The following is a 26,984-nucleotide window of genomic DNA, read 5'->3' as shown; positions in this document are numbered from 1 at the left end:
CAGCTGGCTGGGCAAGTGGGTGAGTCACTAAGTGGCTGGGCCCCTTTAGCCCCATGTAAGGACAGGCTGCAGCCACCCACTGCCCGCCCCAACTGTGTCTGGACAGAAATGGACATGTCTGCTTTGCAGCAGCCACGCCTCATGCTGGGATAAACCTATGAATCAGGAAGGCCACAGATGCTATCACCCGTTTCTCTCCACCAGTTACAGGCCCCGAAAGCAGAAATGGCTGTGGCCTCACCTACGAATCCTGAATGGCGAACCCAGCATCCTGTCTCTAGCTCAGTGCTGGATTCCCTGGAGCAGGAGTGCCAAATGTGGCAGTGAGGGAAACTCTTTGGTTCTCCCTTCCACTTTGGGCTCATTCTAAGTCTATTCTCTAGGCACTGAGACCCCTCATGTTGATTTCTTCTGCCTACATGGGCCTGTTGTCTGTCGGTTTTCCCAGGAAGAGCTGGGAACTTGAGGGTTGGGGTGGGTGGGTATAATGGTGGCAGAGTCTCCCCCGGTTTCTGTGTCTATGGTAGTACCTGATAGCACAGACCTTGCCTTAACCTAGGTCTAGTAGCATGTGGGACTGTGTGTGAACTGGAAGGAACATGAGTGCCACTTCCCTTACTATGTAGATGTGGAGCCCCAGGCTCAGAAGGGGATAGTGATTTGCCCAAGGCCACACGGCTCCTTAGCAGCAGAGGCATACACTGGGGTTTCCTGGACTTCAAGCCTCCACTCTTTTGCCACTCCCACCTGTGGGGATCCCTGCTTTGCCCCCTAATTGGCTCCACCTCCCAAAGTCATCATAAATGGCCCAGGTGAGAGTGGTGCCCTGTTGCTAGGGGCTACCGGGTCCAGGCAGTAACTCAGATGCCTGCCCCAGGAAAACCCTGACAGTGGAGGAAACGCCTGTGTTTCTATCCCAAGCTGGTTTGCCTCGCTCCTGCTGAACACAGTAAAAAGAAGGTAGAATCCACACTGCAGGCCCTGAGACAACAAATGCTCACCCTTCTGAGGAAAGCTGCCTTTAACAAAGGGGAGTAGGGCTTGGCTGGCCCTGGAAAGAATTTGCTACGGGTGCTGGTGTTAGGGAGGGTATGGTACCAGCCAGTGTGTAGGAGTTCTGCTCATGGGAGGGTGTACCGGGTGTGTGCTGATTCCTCTGTGTGTGCCCAGGAAGACGGCAGCTAGTGTAGACAACCAGGGAGTGCCTGACTGGCAGCTGGAATGCCAGGGTTCTCTCAGCCACCTGTCGGTCCTGTGACCTTGGGACTTAACCTCCCAGTCTCAGTTTTTCTCAGCTGCAAAATGGGGATGCTAAGAATCTCCTTCACAAGATTGCTAAAGAGGTAAAACGAATGGATGTGCATATTCTCCCAGCGGCTGGACAAAGTGGCTTATGCCTATAATTCCAGGACTTCAGTAGGCAGACGCAGGAGGATCACTTGAGCCCAGGAGTTCAAGACCAGCCTGGGCAACATAGCAAGACCCTGTCCCTTCAAAAAAAAATTAAAAATTAGCTGGGCATGGTGGCATGCACCTGTAGTCCCAGTTACTCAGGAGGCTGAAGGGGGAGAATCTTTTGAGCCCGCGAAGTCGAAGCTGCAGTGAGCTATGATCGCGCCACTGTAGTCGAGCCTATGTGGCTGAGAGAGACCCTGTCTTAAAAAAAAAAAAAAAAAGTTGTTCACCCAGGGACACAGCATGAGGGCTGCTCTGGAGGTAGGGGCTGGCATGGAGTTGTGCTCCTCCCCCCTGGGCCCTCACTCTGCCTGCGGGTGTCAGGCAGTGTGTGGTCTGGGGAAGGGCAGGGCAGGGCACAGCAGCTCCCGAGCCCCTCGTCTGTGATTTCCTTCCTGACTTCCTTGGCTGCCCAAGGCAGCACTAAATCAGGTCACCACATCTCTCTCCTCACAGTAGGTGTCATGCAAACAGCTCCTGCCCAGCTCCCAATCCAGGTCACCATCTCCCCACCCACTCCCTTTTCTGGCAGCCAAGGAAAGGGCTTCTTGGTGCTTTTATTCTTAAGTGGCCGTTTATTAGACCCTGGCTATGTGCCTGACACTGGGCCTATTGCTTTAAGTAGAAATAACAGGCACCATTTGCTGCATGTGATATACCAGACCCCATCATGAAATTATCCTCTTTTAGGGAGATATGATCACCTCTATTTTATAAGTGTGGAAACAGGCTCAGGAAAGGTATCTCATTTAAGGTCCCTGTGGCAAGTGCAGAGCCTAGGCTGAGACCTAGATGTGGAGATGTGGCTGATTCCAGAGCCTGTGTTTTCAGCCCCTGAGGTCCCATGTTAGGGGACTGGTGGCAGAGGGTGGGATGGGAGCTGGGGGTGCCAGGGGAGGGAAGGTGTGCCACTTTGGCCTCAGAAACCCCAGGGTCACTCCAGGAGACAAGGTGAAGTCTGAGGGGAGGAGGCTGGGGCTGAGGGAGGGGGGTGGGGGGGACACACACACACTCACCCAGACACACGTATGACACACACATGACAGGCCCACAGGCCAACACAGATGCCCACAGACAGGGACAAAGACCCACCAGACAGGCGCAGGGATCAACATGCACTAAGACACATACACAGACTCAGCCATACACAAAAGACAGACACAGCCGCGAAAATATACACCGGTGATGGACAGGCATCAGACATACAGACAGACCCTGCCACACCCGCACACACCCACGCCACACACCCCTGCTGGAGGGAAGGGAAGGAAGAGCCTCTGCCTCATTTCCGGGCCTCCTCCTCCAAAGCGGAGGGAAAAGCCTTCTGCAGAAGTGCTGAGTCAGCAGCGGGTGACAAATGAGCCTCCGGGCGGCGGGAACGGGCGCGAGCACTTAGCATGCAGAGCGCGTTCGTGCCAGCGCCAGCCCCGGCCCGCGGCGGGCGAGGGGGCAGGGAGCGGCGGCCGGCTGCCCGCTCGGGGGAGGCCTGGGGGAGGAAGTGACTCGCTTTGACTTTGCAAACGCCCGACTTTGCAGCCCAAGGTCACGCAGCAGGCGCCGCCAGCCGGCTTCCTGCAGGGAGGCGGGGTGGGCTCTGGCTGGCGCTGGGCGGCAGCCGGGCCAGGCAGGGGAGGGGCTGGACCCGGGGAGGGGAGGGGAGCAAGAGGAGGGGGTGGCCCTCCCAGTGTGGCAGGACTCCGCAAGAACAGACAATGGAACTGCGAGGAGAGGTCCCTGAGCGCGAGGGCCGTCTCAGAAATGCCCAGGGCCGGCCCAGGGAGCTGAGCGTGGCTAGAGCTGATCCCTGGGGTTCTTCTGCTCGCCCGAAAGCCCCCACTGGAATCTAGTCAAAGGGCACCTCGCAGCACGCCTGGGTTGCTGCAGCCGCCCCAGGCAGACTTCTTCCCTCCTGCCCCTCTAATTTATTCTTCACGGAACAGCCAGCGAGTTCTTTTCAAAACATCAATCACATCATTTCCTGTGATGGCTTCCCTCTGCCCTTAGAATAAATCCAGCCCCTCATTGCGGGTAACTCATCTCCGGCATGAGCCACTCTTGATTGTGAAAGGATGAGCTATTAAAAACGACACCAGGAGGACATGCCTGAACTGGGACTGTCCCAGCACCAGGCCCAACTTCTAGCCTGTTCCCACTGCGGCACTTCTGCCTACACCCCCCTTCTTTGCATGGCTGGCCCAGGTCTCAGCATGAATGTCAATGTCGTCTCTGCAGAGAGACCTTCCCTTGCCATCCACCTGCAGAGGTCCCTGCTCCTTAAGCAGTTATACTGCTTTATTTCCTTCATAGCTTTTACCACCCTCTGATTTTACCTTTTTTGTTTGTTTGCTTCTCTTTTGTCTATTTCCCTCCTTCAATAAAAGCTTGAGGGCAGAGACTTTCTCGGTTTTGTTTGGCTCTGCTGTATCCCCAGTACCTGGAAGAGTGTGTGGGACATAGTTGGTGCTCAGTAACATTAAATACAGAAATGAATGCACCAATGGGTGGCAGACCTGAAAGTGAACCAAGTCCTGGGAGGACAGCCTCAGGGACACATAACAAGGAGAGGGCCAGGGCCTGCGTGGGGGTGTTCCTGTGCAGGATCTATGGATAAGAGCCGCAGGGGCTTTGGGAGGCGGAGTGGGCAGATCACCTTAGGTCAGGAGTTCGAGACCAGCCTGGCCAACATGGTGAAACCTCGTCTCTACTAAAAATACAAAATTTAGCCAGGCGTGGTGGCGGGCGCCTGTAATCCCAGCTACTCAGGAGGCTGAGGCAAGAGAATCACTTGAACCTGGGGGGCAGAGGTTGCAGTCAGCTGAGATCATGCCATTGTACTGCAGCCTGGGCGACAGAGGGAGACTCAGCCTCAAAAACAAACAAACAAACAAACAAACAAACAAAAAAGGCTGCAGGGGCTCCTGACCCCTGAAAGCAGCAGGAAGGCTTTAGAGAAATCCTGAGCAGGCTTGAGAATCTCTGCTAGCTCTGTCTTTAGGCAATATTTACTATCTGGAAAGTAAGAATGAACACAACTTCTCCAGGGTTGTTGACGGCTCCTGGTCCTCTCCCAGATGTCACCTCCCTTCCTTGCCAGCTCCTAAGACACACTTGGCTCTGCTGGGAAATCCAGGAGTGAATTCCCTTCCTTTGTTTGTGAGTGTTGCACTGTTACAGGGGGCCATGATGGAGGCGTCAGCTGTGTTTCCACTCTGGGTCCTGCCAGGGTTGCCTCAGTTTCTTCCTGGATGGGCAGAGATTGAGCAAGGCTCTGCTGCTCTGAGGTGAACCTCTGGGAACAGGGAGGAAATCTGGCAAAATACAAAACCTACAAAATGTTCTTGCCCTGGCTTTCTGGCTTCAGTTGACTCCCAGCCTGGAGGACATTTTTTTTTTGCATTTGTTTTTTAATTCCTGTCTTCCCTATCCCCGCCCCAGAGTGAGGATCTGGTGAGATAATAATCATGATAGTGCTTTGAAAGTATCCCTGGCAGGCTGAGTAAATGGTAAGTCACACCTGTAATCCCAGCACTTTGGGAGTCTGAGGCAGGAGGGTCGATTGAGACCAGGAGTGTGAGACTAGACTGGGCAATATAGTGAGACCATCTCTACAAAAAATTTTAAAAATTAGCTCCTCGGGAGGCTAAGGTGAGAGGATTGCTTGAGTCTGGGAGGTGGAGGTTGCAGTGAGCTGAGATTGCACCACTGCACTCCAACCTGGGTGATAGATTGAGACCCTGTCTCAAAAATAAAAATAAATAAATAAATAAATAAAGGTATTCCTGGCTGAGGAATATAAGGGACTGTCATTATTACTATTTCTCTGCTGAGATTTACTCACATGGCTATGGGGCACAGAGGCTGTTGAGCCGCCTTTCTCCCATGTTCAGGAGGCCCCCCAGGAGCCAGTTTTTCTTTTTCTTTTTTCTTTTTTTTTTGAGACGGAGTTTCACTCTTGTTGCCCAGGCTGGAGTACAATGGCGCAATCTCGGCTCACTGCAACCTCCGCCTTCTGAGTTCAAGCGATTCTCCTGCCTCTGTCTCCTGAAAGTAGCTGTGATTACAGGTGCCCCCCACCATGCCCAGCTAATTTTTGTATTTTTAGTAGAGACAGGGTTTCACCATGTTGGCTAGGCTGGTCTCGAACTCCTGACCTCTGGTGATGCACTCGTCCCGGCCTCCCAAAGTGCTGGGATTACAGGTTTGAGCCGCTGCGCCTGGCCAAGCCAGTTTTTCTGACTCCTAACTCCCACCCCATCTCTGTGAGCTGGGCCTGCTGGTTCTGCTTCTGTGGAGAAAAGAGAAAGTGAAAGTGGCCCGGTGGAAGAGGCTCCCCTTGGAGCTCAGGGCCTGCTGGCGGCCTGTGGAGAGATCCCAGCAAGAAAGGGGAGCTCCTCCGCCCCACCCCAGGCCCCTGCCCTGAGCTGCCCGCACAGCCTTGGCCTGCCCTGTGGCTTGGCTCCTTCCTGCCACAGCCCTGGGCAGAACAGGCTGCCTGGGCAGCGGGAGAGTGGCCTGAGGCCACTGTTCCTGGTCTTCTGTCCTGACTCACCCTTCCAAAGTGGGTGAGAGGAGGGAAGGGAGGGCGTGGCAGCCAGGAGCTGTCCCCTGTGGGATGGGTTAGAAGCTGGAATGGCTGGGCCCTTGGGTCAGGATGCCACAGGGCTTCCCAGTGATATCACTGGGAGGCCCAAGGTATAGGTGTGGGCGAGGAAACTTAAAGGAACAAGATAATGCCATCAGCCGGCCTCTGGCACTAAGCTAACCTCAGGCCAGGCACCCTGCCAGGTGCTTTATCCACCTAGAAAACTTAGGGGTGCCTCAAAATCACAAGCTTCTGAAAAATACCTATGCCACTGGCCCTGCCCCGTTACTCCATTTATTCAATTATATATGTCTTTTTAAGAAACAGGATCTCCTGGCCGGGCGCAGTGGCTCACGCCTGTAATCCCAGCACTTTGGGAGGCCGAGGCGGGCAGATCACGAGGTCAGGATATCGAGACCATCCTGGCTAACACGGTGAAACCCCGTCTCTACTAAAAATACAAAAAATTAGCCAGGCATGGTGGCGGGCGCCTGTAGTCCCAGCTACTCAGGAGGCTGAGGCAGGAGAATGGTGTAAACCTGGGAGGCAGAGCTTGCAGTGAGCCGAGATCGCGCCACTACACTCCAGCCTGAGCAACAGAGTGAGACTCTGTCTCAAAAAAAAAAAAATAAAGAAAGAAACAGGGTCTCCTTTGGTCACTGCCCTACAGGCTGGAGTGCAGGGGCACAATCATAGCTCACTATAAGCTCACACTACTGGGCTCAAGTGATCCTGCCGCTGCAGCCTCATGAGTAGCTGGGGCTACAGGCACGATACCCAGCCAGTTTTTTTTTTCTTTTGAAGGGGTCTCACCATGTTGCCCAGGCTAGTCTCAAACTCCTGGCCTCAAGCAATTCTCCCACCTCAGCCTCCCAAAGTGTTGGAATTACAAGCATGAGCCACCACGCCCAGTCTCAATGAATATTTTTTTGAGTGCCCACAGTGCATCAGGCCCTGTCTAGACACAGGGACATAACCATGAAAACAGTTTGTTTGTTTGTTTTTGAGTCGGAGTCTCGCTCTGGTGCTCAGGCTGGAGTGCAGTAGCGAGATCTCGGCTCACTGCAATCTCCACCTTGCAGGTTCAGGTGATCCTCCTGCCTCAGCCTCCCAAGTAGCTGGGACTACAGGCATGTGCCACCATGCCCAGCTAATTTTTTTGTATCTTCAGTAGAGACGGGGTTTTATCATGTTGGCCAGGCTGGTCTTGAACTCCTGACCTCAAGTGATCCACCTGTCTTGGCCTCCCAAAGTGCTGGGATTAAGGCGTGAGCCACCGCGCCCAGCCGGAAACAGATTTTTAAAATCCCGGTCCTCATAGAGCTTACATTCCATTGGAGGGAGAGTCAATAACCAAAATACGTGAAAGTTTTAGTACATAAGATGGTGACATGTGCTATGGAGAAAAATACAGAAGGGAAGGAGGATAAGGATGCTGGAGTCGGGATGGGTTTGTAATTTTAAGAAGAAAGGTTGGAAAAAGCTTGCTGAGAAGGTAGCACTGATTCTAATTTATTATCTCTTCAATACTCACAAAAAGCCAAGGCACGGTGGCTCATGCCTATAATCCCAACATTTTGGGAGGCCGACGCGGGAGGATTGTGTGAGCCCAGGAGTTTGAGACTGGTTTGGGCAACATAGTGAGACCCCATCTCTACCAAGAAATACTAAAATTAGCCAGGAGTGTTGGCATGTGCCTGTAGTCCCAACTACTGGGGAGGCTGAGGTGAGAGGATCGCTTGAACCCAGGAGGTCAAGGCTGTGGTGAGCTCTGATCATGCCACTGCACTCCAGCCTGGGTGACACTACCAGACCCTGTCTCAAAAAAACAAAAAACAAAAAACAAAAAAAGCCAAGAATGCAGAATACAGTCACAATTATTAAGGAAGACGACACCAATGCCCAAGTAAGGAGTCCAAGGTCAGAAGGCTGAGAAGGGGCAGATCCGAAAGTCAAGTTCAGGTTATGTCTGTGCTTGTAACAACCACAGCATGATATTGGACACACAGAGAGAAAATGGAATGAAAAAGAAAAAGGAAGTAAGAGGGTGTATGGCCAGCCTTGCAATGGTGGCCATCTGTTTTCCAACTGAAAATCAGGACACGATCTGAAAGGATTTTCCTGTTGCTCGCAATGAGAGAGGCCGTCTGGGAGAGGCGATTTGGATGTGGGCCTGAAGGGTGGGATTTCTGAGACATTCCAGTGGCTTGTGGGGCCCACGAGGGAGTCCAAGGGTAGGGCATTTTCATGGCAACCTCAGTCTGGCCATTGGGACAGAAGCCTAGTGCAGACCTGGCAGAGAAACCGTGCTGGGCGTGGACCTGAGACTCGGAGGGCCAGGGGGCATGGGGAGCCACTGAGCAGCCAACACCGAGGGGACGAGGGGGCATGGTAGGGGGAGAGGGGAGTGTGTGGCTGGCAGCCCACACCCTAGGCCAATCTGGAGGATGGGCTGGCTGGTTCCAGGACGCCCCCTGGAAGGAGTCTGAAGGGCAGCTGTGGAAAGAACCCAACCTTTCCTGTTAGCCCAGCCTGGGTTTGAAAGTTCTCTCTGCCACTTCCTGCTCTATGGCCCTGGGCAAGTCACACAACTTCCACGAGCGTGTTTCCTCATGTGTGAAATGGGGAGAACAACGCACTCATAGGGTAGTTGCAAGGATTCTCATGCATTGAGATAACGCATGAACTGTGTTTGGCAGACTGCAGACTCCATAAATGAGTATTGCTGTTTCCCTCCACCCAGTGGGGCACTGGGGGCATGCCAAGATGGTGAGCCGGGTGGAATGGAAAGAATTGTGGGGCTTGGGAAACGGATGACCCAGTCACCCAGGGTAGTTTCAGCCTCCCAGCCAATTCCTGCACGTGGGCTGGGGCTTCGTCAGCAACAGAACAATACTCTTCCCCAAAGGCCGGGCCCACAGTGCAAGCCCTCCTCCCAGTCCCACCACTCTGCAGCTTTGGTGCCCTGGTGGATGGGCCTTGCCACCCACCCACCCCTTCAGGCATCCTGAGCAGCACCAGGGCCCATAGTGCCCTCTGCTCTGGTGAACAGCCAAGGTGCCTTCAGAAGGAACAGAGGGGCTCCCATAGCTTCTGCTGGGTGATCCCTTCCTTTCTGCCCAGCTGCCTAGGCGCCTTCCAGTAAACTCCATTGCTGCCCGCACTGTTGCTTCCGGAAGATTGTCCTTAAAGAAAGGAAAGAGAACCAGAAAGAACTTTTGCATCCCCCCACCACCTGCCCCCTACACACCCTTCCATGGGCTGAGCTGCATTCCTCCAGCCCCGGACGAGCCAAGGAGAGCTGGAAACCAGCCCAGCTTTTACCAATAATTCACCATGTGACCTTAAACATCCTTTCTAGGTCTCCTTGCCTTCATTTGTAAAGTGAGGGGTTCAGATTAGATCATCTCTAAAGTCTAGTCATAACCTCTAAATGATTGCATTCATCTATTCTTTTTTCTCTTCCTTCATTCATAGCACTTATACTTCCTGACATAGTATATTAGCATATTTCTTATTTGTTTGTTTATGTCTGTCTTAGTCCTCTCCAGCTCCCTGAGGGCACAAGTTTTTCTTTTTCTTTCTTTTTTTTTTTTTTTCACTGTTATATCCCTGCCACTTACAAAAAAGACAGTAGGAACTTATAACTGTCTGTGTACTGGAAGGAAACAGAAGATTGAACACTCAAATAGAGTGACCAAGGGTTCAAATAAGAACAGAAGGTGGGGTGCGGTGGCTCATGCCTGCAATCTCAGCACTTTGGGAGGCTGAGGCGGATGGATCACGAGGTCAGGAGATCAGACCCTCCTGGCTAACACGGTGAATCCCCGTCTCTATTAAAAATACAAAAAATTAGCCGAGTGTGGTGGCACACGCCTGTAGTCCCAGCTACTTGGGAGGCTGAGGCAGGAGAATTGCTTGAACCCGGGAGGCAGAGGTTGCAGTGAGCCAAATTGCGCCACTGCACTCCAGCCTGGGCGACAGAGTGAGACTCCGTCTCAAAAAAAAAAAAAAAAAAAAAGAACAGAAAGAACTGGCCGGGTGCGGTGGCTCATGCCTGTAATCCCAGCACTTTGGGAAGCTGAGGCAGGCAGATCATTTGAGGCCAGGAGTTCAAAACCAGCCTGGCCAACATGGTGAAACCCTGTCTCCACTAAGAAGTACAAAAACTAGCCAGGCGTGGTGGTGGGCACCTGTAATGCAAGCTACTTGGGAGGCTGGAGCAGGAGAATCACTTCAACCCAGCAGGCGGAGGTTACAGTGAGCTGAGATCATATCAGTGCACTCCAGCCTGGGGGACAGAGGGAAGACTGTCTCATGGAAAAATAAAATAAAATAAAATAAAATAAAATAAAATAAAAGAATATAAAAAACTATATATATATTTTTGTTTGTTTGTTTGAGATATAGTCTCATTAGTGCAGTGGTGTGATCTCGGCTCACTGTAACCTCTGCCTCCTGGTTCAAGCAATTCTCCTGCCTCAGTCTCCCAAGCAGCTGGGACCACAGACACGCGCCACCATGTTCGGCTAATTTTTTTTGTATTTTTTAATGGAGATGGGGTTTTACCATGTTGGCCAGGCTGGTCTTGAACCCCTGACCTCAGGTGATCCTCCCACCTCGGCCACCCAAAGTGCTGGGATTACAGGTGTGAGCCACTGTGCCCGGCTGTAAAGAACTATTTCTAAAGTTGTAGACGAAGTAAGGAGACCAATAAGGAAGGGAGATGCATCCCAGGGCTAACAGCAGAGTAGTGGGTGGGGCTGAGGGGGCGAGGCCAGGGAACCCTCCAGAGCTGTGGCTGAGCTAAGCTGCAGGAGAGGACCAGAGGACAAGAGCTGCAGGCATGGGCAGAGGAAAGCAGCCACTGGCACCCCATGCCCAGCAAGGAAGTGAGTGTGGGGTAAATACCCCGACCTCTTTATCCTTCTGCCCTCCAGTCACCTGCCACCTTATTCCATTGGCTGAATCTAACCCGAAGCCAAGGGGTAAGAACGCTCTGTGGCACAGTCCTGAGAGGTCAGGGTAAGGAAAAGGTGGAGGAGGGTGGACTATGGATCTAGAGAGGAAGTGTGGATTCAGGGCAGCACCTGATCAACATTGCTGAGCACTGGCTCGGTGCCGGAGTGCCTGTGCTGTAGCTGGACATGTGACAAGCAAGTTTAAAATCAAGGTCTCTGCCCACCAGGCAGCACAAACAGGATGCCTTGGCTGGGTCTTGGGGAGCCCCGCTTTCCCTCTGCCCCGGGGACTCCTATCCATATCTGATTTTTGGAAAAGCCTGCTTTGCAAAATTACACTGACAAATGGAAATTACAGGAGCACCGTTGAAGGGAGGCTGTGGGTGAGGGGAGGTGAGGGTAGGGAAAGGATTTGGAGGGCCTAGGCGGTGAGAACTGGCTGTGGAGCTCTGAACCAGCTCGGGAAGGTGACCTTGACATCAGTTGAGGCTCCAGAGTCTGAAAGGTTCAAATCCCACTCCATCACTCATTTACTGTGTGATGTTGGGCCTGTTCCTTGACACCTCTGATTTTCAGTTTTGGCATCTATGAAAATGGGGGGATGAATAGGACGTAGGAATTTTGTGCGGATTAAACGAGAATCTGTGCAAAGGGCTTAGCATAGTGCCTGAGCACAGGGCAAACACTTTATTATGATAATTAGAGGCCAAGGGCCACACTCCCCCCTTCCCATTTCTCACCCGACATGGGATCTCCACCCCCTTTCCAGCTCCATTTAGCTCTGAGTGTTTTAGGTCATTCTATGCCTGGCATTCTGCCAAGGCTTTGACAAAGACAGGAGTTTCTGCTCATTCATCCTAATGCAAGTTCCTGCGTTTATGATAATAGGGAAAAAATGCATGAAAGGGCTTGCTGCCTGCAGAGGGGAAATCAGCTTAGAATTGAAAATCGGAGTCCTTCCTTGGCCCAGCTTTCCCCTCCCTGAGCTTTGGCAAAGGCTGCAGCAGGGAGGGCAGCGGGGAAGAGAGGAGAGGAGAGGAAGGGGAGGGGGAGGGGGAGGGGGAAGAGCTGGCCAGTGAGGCAGAAGGGCAGGGTGGGGGCAGGGGCGAGGGCCCGGCGCACCCGGATGAATGGGTTTCAGGGTGGCTGAGGAAGCCTGCCAAAAAGGCCAAGTGAAAAGGCCGGCCCCGGGAGGCGCTGCGAGCGGTTTCCTTGGCGACACCAGCTGCTGCCTGGGCCCCGCGCTTGCCGGCTCTTTAGTCCCGGCGGGGCCTCGCCTGCCACCACATGGTTACTCAGCGCGGTAGGGAAGAAAAATCCCACGGGTTGCCTTGGCCCAGGTGTCACCAGCCAGTGCCACCGTGTTCTAGACACCATGCTGCCCCCTGCGTGGGGAGACGAGCACCTGGGAAGTACCCGTTGGTGCCTCCTAGAAGCACATACTTCACCTGGTCCAGTGTGGAAAGAGGGGCTGCCTTGCAGGGGCACGACAGGCTCTCCAAGGCCTACGGGCTTTTTCAGTGGGACATGGCAAGGCCAGTGTGTGTTTGTTAAAGATGGCTGTGCCTACGGAGGACTCCTGGAGGATGGGTGGGATGTGTACCCCGAGAGGCTAGGCCAGGCTTCTGTGGCTTGACCTAGGGCAACGGTAGGAGGTGAGTGATTTCAGATCAGAGTGATTTAAGAGGTACACATGACCAGGCCTGGTGCTTGGTTGGAAGAAGGGATGCCAGGGCTTTGGCTTGGGCAGCAGGCAGGTGGAGCCTGTGTTCCCCAGACAGAAAATAGGGGTTGGGGCCGGTCGGTGAACTGTCTGAAGAGAGGACCCCCTTGTCCCATTCTTTTCTGTTCCACTCCTCCCAATTCTCCCCCACCCCAGAGACTGCAAGGACTTGGATCAGGGTGGGGATGCCCAGGTTTGGTGAATGAATACGTGAAATGAGGAGAGATAAAAAAGTGTGTGAGGCCGGGCGTGGTGGCTCACGCCTGTAATCCCAGCACTTTGGGAGGCCGAGGCGGGCGGATCACCTGAGGTCAGGAGTTCAAGAGCAGCCTGACCAACATGGAGAAACCCCATGTCTATTAAAAATACAAAATTAGCTGGGTGTGGTGGAGCCTGCCTGTAATCCCAGCTACTCTGGAGGCTGAGGCAGGAGAATCGCTTGAACCCAGGAGGCAGAATTCGCAGTGAGCTGAGGTCATGCCATTGCACTCCAGCCTGGGCAACAAGAGCAAAACTCCGTCTCAAAAAAAAAAAAAAAAAGTGTGTGAAACAGCGCTGGGTGCGGTGGCTCATACCTGTAATCTCAACACTTTGGGAGGCTGAGGTGGCAGGATCCCTTGAGCCCAGGAGTTCAAGGCTGCAGTGAGTCATGATTGTGCCTCTGCACTCCAGCCTGGGCAACAAGGAAGACCCCGATTCCAAAAAAAAAAAGTGTCTGAAACAGGGTGGGTGTGGGGAGGGAGAGCATCAGGATAAAGAGCTAATGCATGCGGGGCTTAATACCTAGGTGATGGATTGATAGGGGCAGCAAACCACCATGGCACACGTTTACCTATGTAACAAACCTGCATGTCCTGCACATGTATCCCAGAACTTAAAATAAAAAATATATATATTTTTTGAGATGGAGTCTCGCTCTTTTGCCCAGGCTGGAGTGCAGTGGCGCGACCTCAGCTCACTGCAAGCTCCGCCTCCCGGGTTCACACCATTCTCCTGTCTCAGCCTCCCGAGTAGCTGGGACTACAGGCGCCCACCACCATGCCCAGCTAATTTTATGTATTTTTAGTAGAGACAGGGTTTCACTGTGTTAGCCAGGATGGTCTCGATCTCCTGACCTCGTGATCTGCCCACCTCGGCCTCCCAAAGTGCTGGGATTACAGGCGTGAGCCACCACGCCCGGCCCAAAAGAAAATATTTTTTTAAAAAGAAAGAAAGTGTGTGAAACCAACAAGAGATAGAAATGCACTCTCTCTAGATATTTATATACCATCTCCCTAGAGGCACCACCCAAGACTGCTGGGAACGAGGTAAAGTCACACCAACCTCTCACATGCTGACACATACTCTGATTGAACTTTGTCCCTTAAATGTGTCATTTTGGTTTTTTGGTCGTCTTAGCATTCAAATTGGCTTTCACAATTTTTTTGTTTGTTTTTGAGATGGAGTCTTGCTCTGTCGCCCAGGCTGGAGTGCAGTGGCGTGATCTTGGCTCACTGCAACCTCTGCCTCTTGGGTTCAAGCGATCCTCCTGCCTCAGCCTCCCGAGTAGCTGGAATTACAGGCACCCACCACCACACCCAGCTAATTTTTATATTTTTAGTAGAGACGGGGTTTCACTATATTGGCTAGGCTGGTCTCGAACTCCCGACCTCAGGTGATCCACCTGCCTCGGCCTCCCAAAGTGCTGGGATTACAGGCATGAGCCGCTGCACCCAGGTGGCTTTCACAAATTGATTGCAGTTCTATTTGGCTTTTACTCACTGTAGAGTTTCTTTCACAAGCCATGTGAGGGTGGAGTCCTTTCTCCTGCACCATAAAGCACATCTGTCTACCTGTGAGTGTGTGGGTTGCAGGTGCCCCTTGTTCTAAGTAAGCAGATACAGCAGATAGGTATTTAACCCAGAGAACCAGTTAGTGTTGACCTCGTGCTCTACAGAAGAAATCTCTGCAGCTTTCCTGCAAGGCTGTGAAGTGACAGCACGGCTCAGTGGACACAGAGCTTTACAGGGACACCACTACCTGTGTCATTTTTATGGGGGACTAGCTGGCCGAATGTACACTTTATCGGAATCCTGCCATCTACTCTTATCTTCCAACCTATAACATGCCTGCTACTTGGTGATGAAATGGGGGCTGGGGGCAGGGGCGAGGGGGCGGGCTGTGCACATCCAGGCCTGCCCTGTGTCCGTAATCCTCAGACTTTACCTGATGCCCTTTGTAACAGACTTCCTCACCCAAACTCCTCTCCCGAGACCAGTTTTAGTGTTTGCAGGACCCTTACTTACCACCATCTGTAATTGTTTTGTTGTTTACTTGTTTATGATGAAATGTTTATCGCTCACCTTTAAGGTTTTAGTCCCTAGAAAAGTTTCTGGCAATCAGGAGGACTCAGTTTTGTGTTTTTTGTTTTGTTTTGTTTTTGAGATGGAGTCTAGCTCTGTCACCCAGGCTGGAGTGCAGTGGTGCGATCTTGGCTCATTACAATCTCTGCCTCCCAGGTTCAAACAATTTCTCCTGGCTCAGCCTCTCGAGTGGCTGGGACTACAGGAGCGTGCCACCACACCCAACTAATTTTTGTATTTTTAGTAGAGATGGGGTTTCACCATGTTGGTCAGGCTGGTCTCAAACTCCTGACCTCAAGTGATCCACCTGCCTCGGCCTCCCAAAGTGCTGGAATTACAGGCGTGAACCACCGTGCCCAGCCCAAAAGGCTCAGTTTTTGATAGAGGAATTAACAAGTGAATGAGTGAATGGGCAAACTAGGAGAAGTGGCCAGTTTTTCTTACATGCACTCCTCCTCTGATTGGGTTCAGGAGGCCCTTAGGCAGTTTTCATGTCCATCTTTCTGTTTCCAAGGAGGACTGGATTCCAAATACCCCTGTAGGGGCCGGGTGCAGTGGCTCACACCTGTAATCCCAGTACTTTGGGAGGCCCAGGTGGGCAGATCACTTGATGTCAAGAGTTCAAGACCAGCCTGGACAACATGGTGAAACTCCTGTCTCTATTAAAAATACAAAAATTGGCTGGGTGTGGTGGCGTGCACCTGTAATTCCAGCTACTCTGGAGGCTGAAGCACAAGAATTGCTTGAACCCTGGAGGTGGAAGTCGCAGTAAGCTGAGATCAAGCCATTGTACTCCAGCCTGGGTGACTGAGTGAGACTCTGTCTCAAAAAAATAAAAATTAAAAAATGAATAACAAAAAACAAATACCCCTGTAGACTAGACAAGGGCAAAGCTGTTATTTATCACCCACAGATATTACTTGTGTCCCTATAAGTGCCAGACCCTCTGTGGGATGCAGCAAAGACAGCAGTGGGCAAGACAGCCAGGGTCCCTGTTCTCCTGCAGCTACCGTTTTAGTGTGGTAGACAGACAATATGTTGTAAGTGATACATACATATGAAAAAAGGCCTGTAACAGAGAGTTAAAAAGGCCATCTAATTGAGATAGGGCAGCCAGGGGAGGTCTTTCTGAGAAGGTGACATTCTAGCTGAGCCCTGAAGGTTGAGAAGGAACCAAACATGGGAAGAGCTAATGGGATGATGTTCCAGGGAGTGGGGCCAGAAAGTGCAAAGGCCCTGTGGCAGGAAACAGCTTGGGATGTTCCTGGAAGGCCAGAGGTCAGGAAAACGGGCAGAGTCCAGCGTGGAAGACCCATATAGCCCCTGGCGAGGAGTTTGGGTTTTACTCAAAGTGCACTGGACAATCATTGTAAGGGTTGCCTAGGAGAATTACATAATCGGACCATGCCCTGGCTTCTAGGAGCCAGTATTGGGTGGATTGGGGATGGGGTGGGAAGCAGGATACATCTCTGGAAGTACAGAGCAGTTGGAAGGTGGGAGGGAGGGGAGGTTTAGACAGGTTAGGATGGTGGCCATAAGGGTGGAGAAAAGTGGGTAGAAACGAGACCTGCATGGAGGTGGGGGTGGGTTGGAGCTGGGGAGGGAAGAGGATGAGTCTCCAGGACTTCTGGGTTTCTGGCTGGAGAAACCCAGCAAACCTGGTAAACAATGCAATGTCCAGCTGCTGTCAAAGAAGACCCGATGTTTGTTGGGCCTGTGAGAACTTTCCTGAGAGTCTTATAGATTGGGAAATAAAAGCTTCCACTCCTGCTAAATAAAGAGCCCCGTGTGAATCGCGCCCTAACCGTAGGTGTCTTTGAGGCACAGTGTCACAGGAGCAGAGCTTGGGCAGCAGTGATCATCAACCATTCAGCATGGTTTTGAATCATCTCATTCTTTCTGTGACTGTCCCCAATTCTAACATTTGAAAGCTGGTTGACTGAGAGAGCACTTTACCTTTGAAAGGCCTTCCCGCAGAAAGGGGAGCAGCTTTGTGGCCCCAGAGGGCAGAATCAGACAGTGAGAGGCATGGGGGTAGAGACTGCAGCTCAGCACCAACAGGAAGAGCTTGAGTAATGAGAGCTTTCTCATGGGATGAGCCTCCCATCGGTAGGTGTACTCAAGCAGAGGTGGACAGGATGCTGGGGTGTCTCCAACCTGGCAGCCAGTCAACCAGGAGACTCAATTCCTGTGGTTGTGAACACCCTTTTCATCTTGCTTCCCTGCATCTCAGGAGGATAACAGCTGCCTCCTATCCCCTGCACTAAAACCCCTCTGCTGGCTAAGGACAGCAGCTAAGTCACATCTAAGCCTGCCCTGCTTGTTCTGGGTTTAACAATCTCAGTGTTTCCTCCCACCCACCCGCTCGCCCATGGCCAAGAGAAGAACAAACCCCAGCGTAGGTGGAGAAGTGGGGGCCGGGGTGATGCTGTGCAGGCCTGTCCAAGGCCTCCTGGCTTTTCAGGAAAGGGTGTCCTCATGTCTGTGGGACTACCGAAGCCAGGCTTGGTTCCCTGAAACTCCTCCGCCCACAGGTCAGACTCCTGCAGGGACAATCAAGGGTGTCATGGGTGTGAGACGGGGACTTTCCTGGTCAAGCCTTCTGGACACCCCCCTCCCCTCATCCCAGCTGCACTCCCCAGAACAGCAGCAGCTGCCACTAGATAGGAAGGACCCCACCTCTGGTGTCCTTGGGGAAAGGGGCCTTGCATAGGCGGTGACACAAGCCACTTGGTCCCAGCTGCGGGTGAGGGGAGGGGCTAACACTTCCAGAAGACCCTGAACTCTGGCAGGCCTGATTGCTTTGCTCCAGGGCTGGTCTCAGCTGCTATCATGGATCCCTGGGAGCAGCTGGAGGGAAGAGAGATGGCATCCAGCGCCGATCGATCGTGGGAAGAAGCTGGCCCCTTTGGGAGGTAGCCCTGGGGCATGGCAGCACCACTCCTATCTAGGCTACCTCTGATGATTTTGGTTCTTTCTTTGCATTTCTGAGTCTAAGTTTTCATATCTGGAAAATGGGGATAGAACAATATCTACGTTCTGTGAGAATGGAGTGAAACGATGGACAAGACAAGCCTAGCACAGTTCTGGCACACCGTAGGTGCTGGATGAGTTTTCTCCTAGAATTTTCTTTTTTCTCCATACTCTCCCCTCTGTTACCGTCTGTAGAAGTGGAATTGCTTACCAGTGGTGGGGATGCTCTTGTAGGGAGAACGAGATCCTTCTGGTTCTGAAATATCCCTGCCTTTGCTGACAAGATTACAAGCCTGTATTGCTTTTTGCTTTTTTTTTTTTTTAATTGAGACAGAGTCTTACTCTGTCACCCAGGCTGGAGTGCAGTGGCTCACCGCAACCTCTGCCTCCTGGGTTCAAGCAATTCTCCCACCTCAGCCTCTAGAGTAGCTGGGATTACAGGCGCCCGCCACCACGCCCGGCTAATTGTGTGTGTGTGTGTGTGTGTGTGTGTGTGTGTGTGTGTGTGTGTGTGTGTGTGTGTGTTTAGTAAAGATGGGGTTTCACCATGTTGGCCAGGCTGGTCTTGAACTCCTGACCTCAAGTGATCTGCCCGCCTCAGCCTCCCAAAGTGCTGGAATTACAGGCGTGAGCCACCAGGCCCGGCTGTTTTTTTGTTTGTTTTTTAGAGACAGGGGTCTCACTTTGTCACCCAGGCTGGAGTGCAGTGGTGCAACCATAGCTCACTGCAGCCTCGATCTCCTGGGCCCAGGTGATCCTCTCACCTCAGCTTCCCAAGTAGCTGGGACCACAGGGGTGCGCCACCACACATTGCTAACTCATCATTTCTATTTTTATTTTTTGTAGAGCCAGGGTCTTGCTATGTTGCCTAGGCTGGTCTCAAACTCCTGGGCTCAAGCAGTCCTGTCTTGGCTTCCCAAAGTGTTGGGATTGCAGGCATGAGCCACTGCACGCGGCCCAAACTTGTATTTTGTTAACATAAATAAATGATAGAGAAGGCAGGCGAGAAGCGTAGCTGCCAGGCTGTGGGCCCACTGTAGCTGCCCACGCTTTCCAGTGGGTGCTGTGGAAGGGGAGGTCCTAGGTGGGGTGGGCTCCCTACCTCCCCTGACTGTGGCCCCGCAGCTGGGGAGGGATCTGGAAAGGGGATCATGGGCATGGTGATAGGAGACTGGTATTCCAGACTTCCCAGGTTGGGAGCCCAGTTGAGAGAGGAGGGGGGCTGGATGGGAGCCGGCCCTGGGGGAGATGGGGAGGGGCTAGGGGCCATTTGCTCTTCCAGCCAGCTGACCCTGTTATTTTTAGCCCTGGAATGCTCCTCCCAAGCCCCCTTCACTTCTATTTATCTTGCTTTGGAGTCTTGGTTCTTTCCCAGAAATTCCACATGAGGGGAGGCAGAGGGGATTGAGGGTGCCAGGAAGAATGGGACACACTGGCTGGGGCTGGGCTGAGGAAGAGGAGGAAGCTGCTCTCCTTCTCCCCACCCCAGCCCAGAGGCTGCCTTTTCCTCCTTTCTCCATTTTGGCTGGAAAATGGAAAAAACCTGGCTCAGAGAACACTCAGCTGTCACCAAGTTATCCTTCCTTCTTCTCAACCACCCAGATGAGACCTCCATTGTCCCCAGCCCAGGCCTTGGCTGCCCATCCTCTCACTTTTCCTTCAGGGAGCTCAGGGGACGGTTGGGGTGGTCAGGAAGGGTTTGCCTTGGAACCCGTAGCTGTGCATCAGGACACACTGGGGGTCCCTGGAAGGAGTTCCTGTGTGAAAATAAAAGAAGGGCCAGGTGTGGTGGCTCACGTCTATAATCCCAGCACTTTGGAAGGCCGAGGCGGGTGGATCACTTGATCCCAGGAGTTCGAGATCAGCCTGGGCAACATAGTGACACCTCATCTCTACCAAAAATTAAAAAAATTAGTTGGGCATGTTAGCACGTGCCCTGGGAGGCTGAGGTGGGAGGATTGCTTAAACCCGGGAGGTCGAGGCTGCAGTGAGCTGTGACTGTGCCACTGCACTCCAGCCTGGGCAACACAGTGAGACCCTGTCTCAAAAAAAAAAAAAAAAAGAAGAAAAGAAAAGAAAGAAAAAAAGAGAAAATGAACAGAATGAACAGGGGCAGTTAGAAAAGAATTGGTATGAATGCTGGAGGTTTTCTCAGCACTCCCTGAGCTTCAGTTGCATCCTCTGTAAAATGGGAATGACAACAGTTCCCTCTCTATGAGGGATCTGCTGGGGCATGAGCTGGTGAATAGATGGCACCATTTACACGTGGAAACCACTCCATCAATGTCGCCAGTGCTGGCAGGATGGGCCAATCCCAAGGCGGGTGTGCTTTTGGGTACTGATGGGGCCTGAGCCTCCTGAAGGCCACACCCCTCCCCAGCCTACTTTAGTTGCTGTCAGGCTGCAGAGTGCTCTGCTCTGGGCTCTTGGTGTTTTTCTTTTTTTTTTTTCTTTTTTTAAATTTTTTTATTTTTATTTTTTGAGACAGTTTTTCCTCTTGTTGCCCAGGCTGGAGTGCAATGGTGTGATCTCAGCTCGCTGAAACCTCCGCCTCCTGGGTTCAAGCGATTCTCCTACCTCAGCCTCCCGAGTGCTGGGATTACAGGCATGTGCCACCACGCCCTGCTAATTTTTTGTATTTATAGTAGAGACGGGGTTTCTCCATGTTGGTCAGGTTGGTCTCAAACTCCCGACCTCAGGTGATCTGCCCGCCTCGGCCTCCCAAAGTGTTGGGATTACAGGCGTGAGCCACCGCACCCAGCCTGCTCTGGGCTCTTGTTACAGGTGAATGTCACTCACTGGCAGCTCTCCCTGCTCCCCCCAGCACAGGGGTGAAAGTGGGCAGTAATTCTGGGATAAGGGACACTTTGAGGCAAGGTAATCCCCTCCTGCCAGTCCCTGGAGGAGAGGAGGGGAGTGTGCCTCTGAGGCTCCCCAGCAGGGTGGGCACGCTTTCTCTTCCTGTCCTGTTCTCCAAGCCTCCTTGTGGGAAAAGTCCATCAGCCCTTAGGGAGGGCCGGGCATCACCTGGAGCTGGCGCTAGGGAGAGAGGCCAAGGCAGTCAATGAAGAGCCTTGGTGGGCCCAGTGCTGAAGGAACGGTGGAATATTCTGGTCATGAGTCAGTCAAAAATGGCCAAGCTCCAGGCCTGGCGGTAGCCTTGGGGGTCTATGTGTAGAAGAGAGGGTGGACATGCCTGGGCCAGTTCTGGATAAAGGCAGGGGATGGGGAAAGCCATCTGGGGCAACCACTGTCCCCCTGGCATGGGATTAATGCCACTTAGAGGTGGAAAAGAGGCAGCAGCTGCCATATCCCAGGAAAGTCACTGACCTTTAGAACAGGAGACAGAAATAGCCCTGGAGAGTTCAGAATCCTGTGTGAGAGAGGTGGCCAGGCCAGGCAGGGCAGGCCCCAACATGAGGAGGGGAGGAGAACCATGTTAGTACCCACTGTGTCAGACATGATGCCCGGCATTTCACAGGCCTTCCTCACTTACTTTCCACCTCCAGCCAGCAGGGTATGCATGATTGTCTCCATTTTATGGATGAGGAAACTGAGGCTCAGAGAGGCGTGGCCAAACTTGTCGTCAGCAGAGTTGGGGCTGAGCCAGACCTCGCTTGTCTGACAGTCCACGTGTCCCCATGGCTTCCTTCACCCCCAGCCCAGTTGCTGCTGCCATCATGGGTGTTGGATGGGGTTATCCAGCTGAACCTGTACTCAGCTAGCCTGGTATAGGGGGGTGGAAAACCTCTCATTGAGGCCTGGAGGCTCCAAAAGGTGAAACTCAACTACTTCTGCTTATGAAGTCACCCCAGAGCCTCTTAATCTTGGCAGCCTTTGGCCAACTTTCCTTTTCTCCCTTGCTCACGGAAAGAGGGACTGCCAACATTTCTCCCCTTACGTCACCTCAATTGTGCCAGGCTCAGGGCTAGGTGGAACCCCTGGAGACCCCTCCCCTGTGGCAGTGGCAAGGATAAGCTTGGGGGAAAGGGCCCAGTCAAGCCAAGGTCTGAGAGGGTAAGAATAACAACGTGTTAAAATAACACGCTGACTGGCTGGTGGGCTCCTCCTCCCTTCCCTGATGGTGTTCCAGCCTCAGCAGCTCCCAGCTGTTTCTGCTTATCTGAAGCCAGGGAGACTGGTTGCCTGGATACCAGGCTGCTGATTCGCAGTTGGGTCCTTCAGGGGCAGGCAGAGCTGCTGCATCTCCAGCCAGCTGGGCGTGGCACCCTCAGCCCCCTGCACCGGCCCTGGGAAAGGTGGCAGGGAGGACTGGGGGTCAGGTGGGGAGCGCTGATGGAAGAGACCCCTTGTGCCGGAGTTGTTAGAGAATCTGAGCCCTGCCGTTTGCTGGCTGTGTGACCTTGCTCGTGCTAACCTCTCTGAGCTTTTGTTTCTTTATCTGTGAAGAGGGGATAAATATCCCCTGCCTCGAAGAGCTGTTGAAAGAATAGATGTGGGCTGGGCACGGTGGCTCACGCCTGTAATCCCAGCACTTTAAGAGGACAAGGCTGGTGGATCACTTGAAGTCAGGAGTTTGGGACCATCCTGGCCAACATGGCAAAACCCCATCTCTACTAAAAATACAAAAATTAGCTGGGCGTGGTGGCACATACCTGTAATCCCTGCTATTCAGGAGGCTGAGGTACAAGAATCACTGGAACCCGGGAGGGAGGTTGCAGTGAGCCGAGATTGTGCTGTTGCACTACAGTCTGGGCGAAAGAGCCAGACTCTGCCTCAGAAGAAAAAAAAAAAAGAATAAATATGATGAGTAAGTGACTGCACAACAGAGCACTACAGCTCAGTAATCCTGACAGCCTACCCAGCACCGTTGGGCCCCATCCAGAACCTTTGGTCTGCATCCCACAGGGAAGCCATGCGGGGTCACTGAAGCAGGCAGCTGGGGAGCCTCAGAGGAGGTGGCCTCGAGCCTGCTTCCATCCTCTAGGGATGGAGGCTATGACCCAACCTGGGGCCCTCAGAACTTAGCTGGGGTTGAAGGGCCAGCCTGGGGATGGGTTGGGGAAGACTAGGCCAGACAGCAGGCCGCTGATGGCATCTTAGGTGATGAAAGGAAAGCCAGCTTTGTGTCCAACCAATGGTGAATGTTCCCGTTCAGCATCCTTTCCTGGCAAAGGGAGAAGTTGCCGGATTGCAGGTGGAAGACTAGGGAAGGAGGCAAGAAAGCCCAGCATCGTGAGCTGTCTAAGGTCCCTGTCACCTGCCCTGGTTGAGTAAAGAAGACAGCAAGACTGGGCTGGGCGCAGTGGCTCACACCTGTAATCCCAACACTTTGGGAGGCTGAGGTGGGCAGATCACCTGAGGTCGGGAGTTTGAGACCAGCCTGGCCAACACGGAGAAACCCTGTCTCTACTAAAAATACAAAATTAGCCAGGCATGGTGGCAGGTGCTTGTAATCCCAGCTACTCGGGAGGCTGAGGCAGGAGAATCACTTGAACCTGGGAGGCGGAGGTTGCGGTGAGCCGAGATCACACCACTGCTCTCCAGCCTGGGCAACAAGAGCGAAACTCCATCTCAAAAAAAAAAAAAAAAGACTGCAAGGCCAAGGGAGCAGGAACAGGACCAAGAGGACATGTCCTTCTGGTCTGCTCAGATCTAGTGGTCCCCATGTGACCTTTTTTCACTTAAGAGATGAGTGAGGCAAGCTCAGGGCTGTGGGCTGGGGGCTGGCAGAGCTGGGCGGGAGAAACCTGAATCTCCTCTGCAGGAAGGGCTGTTCCCAAGCTCATCTGCTGGCTCTCCCGAAACCTCTCCAGAGCCAGGCCCATGGAGCAGGCACTGGGTCCAGATGAGAAGCAGCAAATAACCATGGGCTCTCAGTGGCCCCGAGGGGTGTGCAGGGCCATCACAGACCCTCTTCTTCACCCTCCTGACTTAGGAAAAGGGCAGCGAAGAAAAGGGCAAGTGGGAAGGGAAGGGAGGGGGTGCTGTTTCACCAGGGCCTGTACCTTTTTACTCCCTTAATGCAGCAGGAGAGCAGCCTGTGCCTGCTGGTAGCAAAGAGACCGGAGCCCATGAATAATGCAAAGAAGAGCATGGGGCAGCTAGAAAATGGTTACTGTTTCGTCAAAGTGGGGAATGGGCCTGGAATGCAAAACAGAGGGGAGACAGGGGCTGGAGTGGAGGCGAGGGCTTGGTGCTGCCCTTGGGCCACTGGGCTGAGGGACTCGCCATTCTTGTGCTGAGCCCAGCTCCTGGCTCTGGCCTCTCTGTGGCATCAGTAGCAGCCCAGGGCTTGCAGACTGGGCAGAAGGGTTGGGCCCTGCCCCAGGCCTGGCCTTCTGTTAGGGCGACTGGAGGCAATGGCCACCCATCATATCTTCACAGAGTTGCTGGCACTGGCAAGCAAAGTAGAAGGGAGGTTTGGCGGGAAACTGAGGGAGCTTCCAGAGATGTCTTATCAGGATGGGTGGGGCACTTCCAGCTGCTTGGAAGTTTGAGAATTGGGGAAAACTTAGGGGTCAAGGAGTATCATTTAAGAGTCAAAAGAAGGTACACTTTGGGAGGCTGAGGCAGGCGGATCACCTGAGGTCAGGAGTTTGAGACCAGCCTGGCCAACATGGAGAAAACCCATCTCTACTAAAAATTACAAAGAAATTAGTTGGGCGTGGTGGCACATGCCTGTAGTCCCAGCTACTCAGGAGGCTGAGGCAGGAGAATTGCTTGAACCTGGGAGGCTTAGGTTGCAGTGAGCCGAGACCATGCCACTGCACTCCAGCCTGGGTGACAAAGCAAGACTCCGTCTCAAAAAAAAAAAAAAAAAAAAAAAAAAAAAAAAGAAGAAGAAGAAGAAGAAGAAGGAGAAGAAAGTAAATCAGTACATCTATAAGGATGGATTTGGAGTAGGTATGAGTGGAAAAGGTACCGCCTGTCCTCACTGCCTTGTCCCCGGTGGGCAAGAGAATGCCTGGTTACAAAAGGCCTGAAAGTTATACAGCTGCACTTTTTTTCCTGAGTTCCATGAGAATCCGTGGAAGGATTTTACAGGAGAGAGACAAGATCGGATTTAAGTGTGAGCAAATCATAGATAGTTTTATTGTATTGTCATGGGAGATCAACAAACCATTTATTATGTATTTGCCTCCTTTTTTTTTTGACGTAGTCTCGGCTCTGTTGCCCAGGCTGGAGTGCAGTGGTGTGATCTTGGCTCACTGCAACGTCTGTTTCCCCGGTTCAAGCGATTCTCCTGCCTCAGCCTCCCGAGTAGCTGAGAGTACAGGCATGTGCCACCACTACGCCTAGCTCATTTATTTTTCTATCTCTCTTTTTTTTTTTTGAGACGGGGTTTCGCCCTGTCGCCCAGACTGGAGTGCAATGGCATGATCTCAGCTCACTGCAACCTCCGCCTCCTGGATTCAAATGATTCCCCTGCCTCAGCCTCCCGAGTAGCTGGGATTACAAGCACCCACCACCACGCCCAGCTAATTTTTGTATTTGTTTTTAGTAGAGATGGGGTTTCACCATGTTGGCCAGGCTGGTCTTGAACTCCTGACTTCATGATCCGCCCACCTCAGCCTCCCAAAGTGCTGGGATTACAGGTGCGAGCCACTGTGCCTGGCCCGTACTTTTTTTTTTTTTTTTTAAGTACTGTTCCCACTTGATGGATGTCTCTGCTTCTAAAGCTTGTTGGTCACCATGTGATTTGGGAAGGAGGGGACACGGGGTGAGTTAAGGGGACGAGTTAGGGGACTGGCAGAGTAGTGCAGGTGCAAGAGGCTGGGTGACCAGAGGGCCTGGGTAGGGGTAGGAGGCAGGAGAGCTGTTCAGAAGGTCGAAACAATCACTATTGGTGACGTTCTGTGTGGGTGGCCACCAACAGAGAAAGAGGCATCAAAGGAGACTCCCGAGTTTCTGGTGTGGGTGTGGCTACTGGGTACCAGGCAGATAGGGTGCCTCCAATCCAGAAGAGAGGCCCTGGAAGCTTTGGTGCAGGAGGATAGTGGGGAAGATGCTGAGTTTGAGATTCCTGGGTGACAACCAGATGGCAGATGGAAATAGGGCCAGGAGTTTGAGGCTGGGCCTTGCTGCTAACATGGGCACTGTAGGTACAGACAGGCCTTTGCTGGTTCTGGGCTCGCCTCCCCACAGCGCGTAGGAGAAAAGGGGCCAGGTGAGGAATACAGATTCTATTAAAGTCCCTCCAGCTGGGCCCTGGGGCTACGGGTAATTCTGTCACCCAGCGCTGCCTGGAGCAGACCCTCTCTGCTTTTGCTCCCCAGCCCTCTGAAGGCCAAGGCATCCCAGGCCTTTCTTTTTTCTGCCTGCAGGTGGGCTTCAAGCAGCCTCAAGAGGAGTCTTTCCCATGGCAGGACTCCCCAGGAGAGAGGCTTCCTCCTCACGCCACTTTGTCCTCTGGCAGCAACAAGTCTCAGGGGCTGAGGTATCCCCTTCCCTTGCAAATCCCAAGGGGGCACCTGAGGTGTTGCTTTTGGGTGGAGAGGGAGCACAGGCTCTCAGGCTGATGAAAATCTCCTGGGGGTGAGCGTTTACTGCTCTCCACAGCTGCCTCCCACCCCTCTGGGGGCCACTCTCCTGCTGACACCCAGCTCGGCACAACTGTTCCACCAAGACGGTGTCCACAAATGCATCCCCAAACGACAAGTGCATGCAAATCACCCAGTTACAGAAGCAAATAGCAGTCCAGAGAGAAGAAGAGCCGGTGAGTGGCCCAAGCTAGGGACGAAAGGAAACAAGCTGAGATTGCAGGTAGGGGGAGAGGGAGCTCTTTGGAGAGGCCCAGAGGCAGGAGGAGGCTAAAGAACAGTGAGGAGGTGGAGAAGAGGAGGCTCTGGGGGCTGCCGGGAGACAGAGGGTCCCAATGACCTGGCAAAGGTAGACTGGTGTCAAGTGGAATGGGAAGTAGAGGGATGCAGATCAAAGGGGCCCCGGCAGGGTCTAGAAGACTAAGTATCATTTCACTCCTCCCT

General features: G+C 52.9%; 11 annotated features.

Moving 5' to 3' along the window:
- Nucleotides 45-114: an enhancer, noted in NCBI's record as "active region_8779". NCBI's record gives its function as "activates an Ori minimal core promoter by ATAC-STARR-seq in GM12878 lymphoblastoid cells {active_cell/tissue: GM12878}" and the evidence as "EXISTENCE:reporter gene assay evidence [ECO:0000049][PMID:35858748]".
- Nucleotides 155-334: an enhancer, noted in NCBI's record as "active region_8778". NCBI's record gives its function as "activates an Ori minimal core promoter by ATAC-STARR-seq in GM12878 lymphoblastoid cells {active_cell/tissue: GM12878}" and the evidence as "EXISTENCE:reporter gene assay evidence [ECO:0000049][PMID:35858748]".
- Nucleotides 2,713-3,247: an enhancer, noted in NCBI's record as "H3K27ac hESC enhancer chr14:77422669-77423203 (GRCh37/hg19 assembly coordinates)". NCBI's record gives its function as "activates a minimal SCP1, AML or CMV promoter by ChIP-STARR-seq in primed H9 embryonic stem cells {active_cell/tissue: H9 hESC(primed)}" and the evidence as "EXISTENCE:reporter gene assay evidence [ECO:0000049][PMID:30033119]".
- Nucleotides 2,796-3,155: a silencer, noted in NCBI's record as "silent region_5960". NCBI's record gives its function as "represses an Ori minimal core promoter by ATAC-STARR-seq in GM12878 lymphoblastoid cells {active_cell/tissue: GM12878}" and the evidence as "EXISTENCE:reporter gene assay evidence [ECO:0000049][PMID:35858748]".
- Nucleotides 3,496-3,565: an enhancer, noted in NCBI's record as "active region_8777". NCBI's record gives its function as "activates an Ori minimal core promoter by ATAC-STARR-seq in GM12878 lymphoblastoid cells {active_cell/tissue: GM12878}" and the evidence as "EXISTENCE:reporter gene assay evidence [ECO:0000049][PMID:35858748]".
- Nucleotides 5,328-5,897: an enhancer, noted in NCBI's record as "H3K27ac-H3K4me1 hESC enhancer chr14:77420019-77420588 (GRCh37/hg19 assembly coordinates)". NCBI's record gives its function as "activates a minimal SCP1, AML or CMV promoter by ChIP-STARR-seq in naive and primed H9 embryonic stem cells {active_cell/tissue: H9 hESC(naive and primed)}" and the evidence as "EXISTENCE:reporter gene assay evidence [ECO:0000049][PMID:30033119]".
- Nucleotides 5,898-6,467: an enhancer, noted in NCBI's record as "H3K27ac-H3K4me1 hESC enhancer chr14:77419449-77420018 (GRCh37/hg19 assembly coordinates)". NCBI's record gives its function as "activates a minimal SCP1, AML or CMV promoter by ChIP-STARR-seq in naive and primed H9 embryonic stem cells {active_cell/tissue: H9 hESC(naive and primed)}" and the evidence as "EXISTENCE:reporter gene assay evidence [ECO:0000049][PMID:30033119]".
- Nucleotides 17,418-17,527: an enhancer, noted in NCBI's record as "active region_8776". NCBI's record gives its function as "activates an Ori minimal core promoter by ATAC-STARR-seq in GM12878 lymphoblastoid cells {active_cell/tissue: GM12878}" and the evidence as "EXISTENCE:reporter gene assay evidence [ECO:0000049][PMID:35858748]".
- Nucleotides 19,134-19,634: an enhancer, noted in NCBI's record as "H3K4me1 hESC enhancer chr14:77406282-77406782 (GRCh37/hg19 assembly coordinates)". NCBI's record gives its function as "activates a minimal SCP1, AML or CMV promoter by ChIP-STARR-seq in primed H9 embryonic stem cells {active_cell/tissue: H9 hESC(primed)}" and the evidence as "EXISTENCE:reporter gene assay evidence [ECO:0000049][PMID:30033119]".
- Nucleotides 23,547-24,144: an enhancer, noted in NCBI's record as "OCT4-H3K4me1 hESC enhancer chr14:77401772-77402369 (GRCh37/hg19 assembly coordinates)". NCBI's record gives its function as "activates a minimal SCP1, AML or CMV promoter by ChIP-STARR-seq in naive H9 embryonic stem cells {active_cell/tissue: H9 hESC(naive)}" and the evidence as "EXISTENCE:reporter gene assay evidence [ECO:0000049][PMID:30033119]".
- Nucleotides 24,145-24,743: an enhancer, noted in NCBI's record as "OCT4-H3K4me1 hESC enhancer chr14:77401173-77401771 (GRCh37/hg19 assembly coordinates)". NCBI's record gives its function as "activates a minimal SCP1, AML or CMV promoter by ChIP-STARR-seq in naive H9 embryonic stem cells {active_cell/tissue: H9 hESC(naive)}" and the evidence as "EXISTENCE:reporter gene assay evidence [ECO:0000049][PMID:30033119]".

The sequence above is a fragment of the Homo sapiens genome, chromosome 14 (genome assembly GCF_000001405.40).
Source record: "Homo sapiens chromosome 14, GRCh38.p14 Primary Assembly".
Classification (NCBI taxonomy): Eukaryota; Metazoa; Chordata; class Mammalia; order Primates; family Hominidae; genus Homo; species Homo sapiens.
The sequence above is the reverse complement of the archived record's forward strand: the minus strand, read 5'-3'. Positions and strand labels throughout refer to the sequence as shown.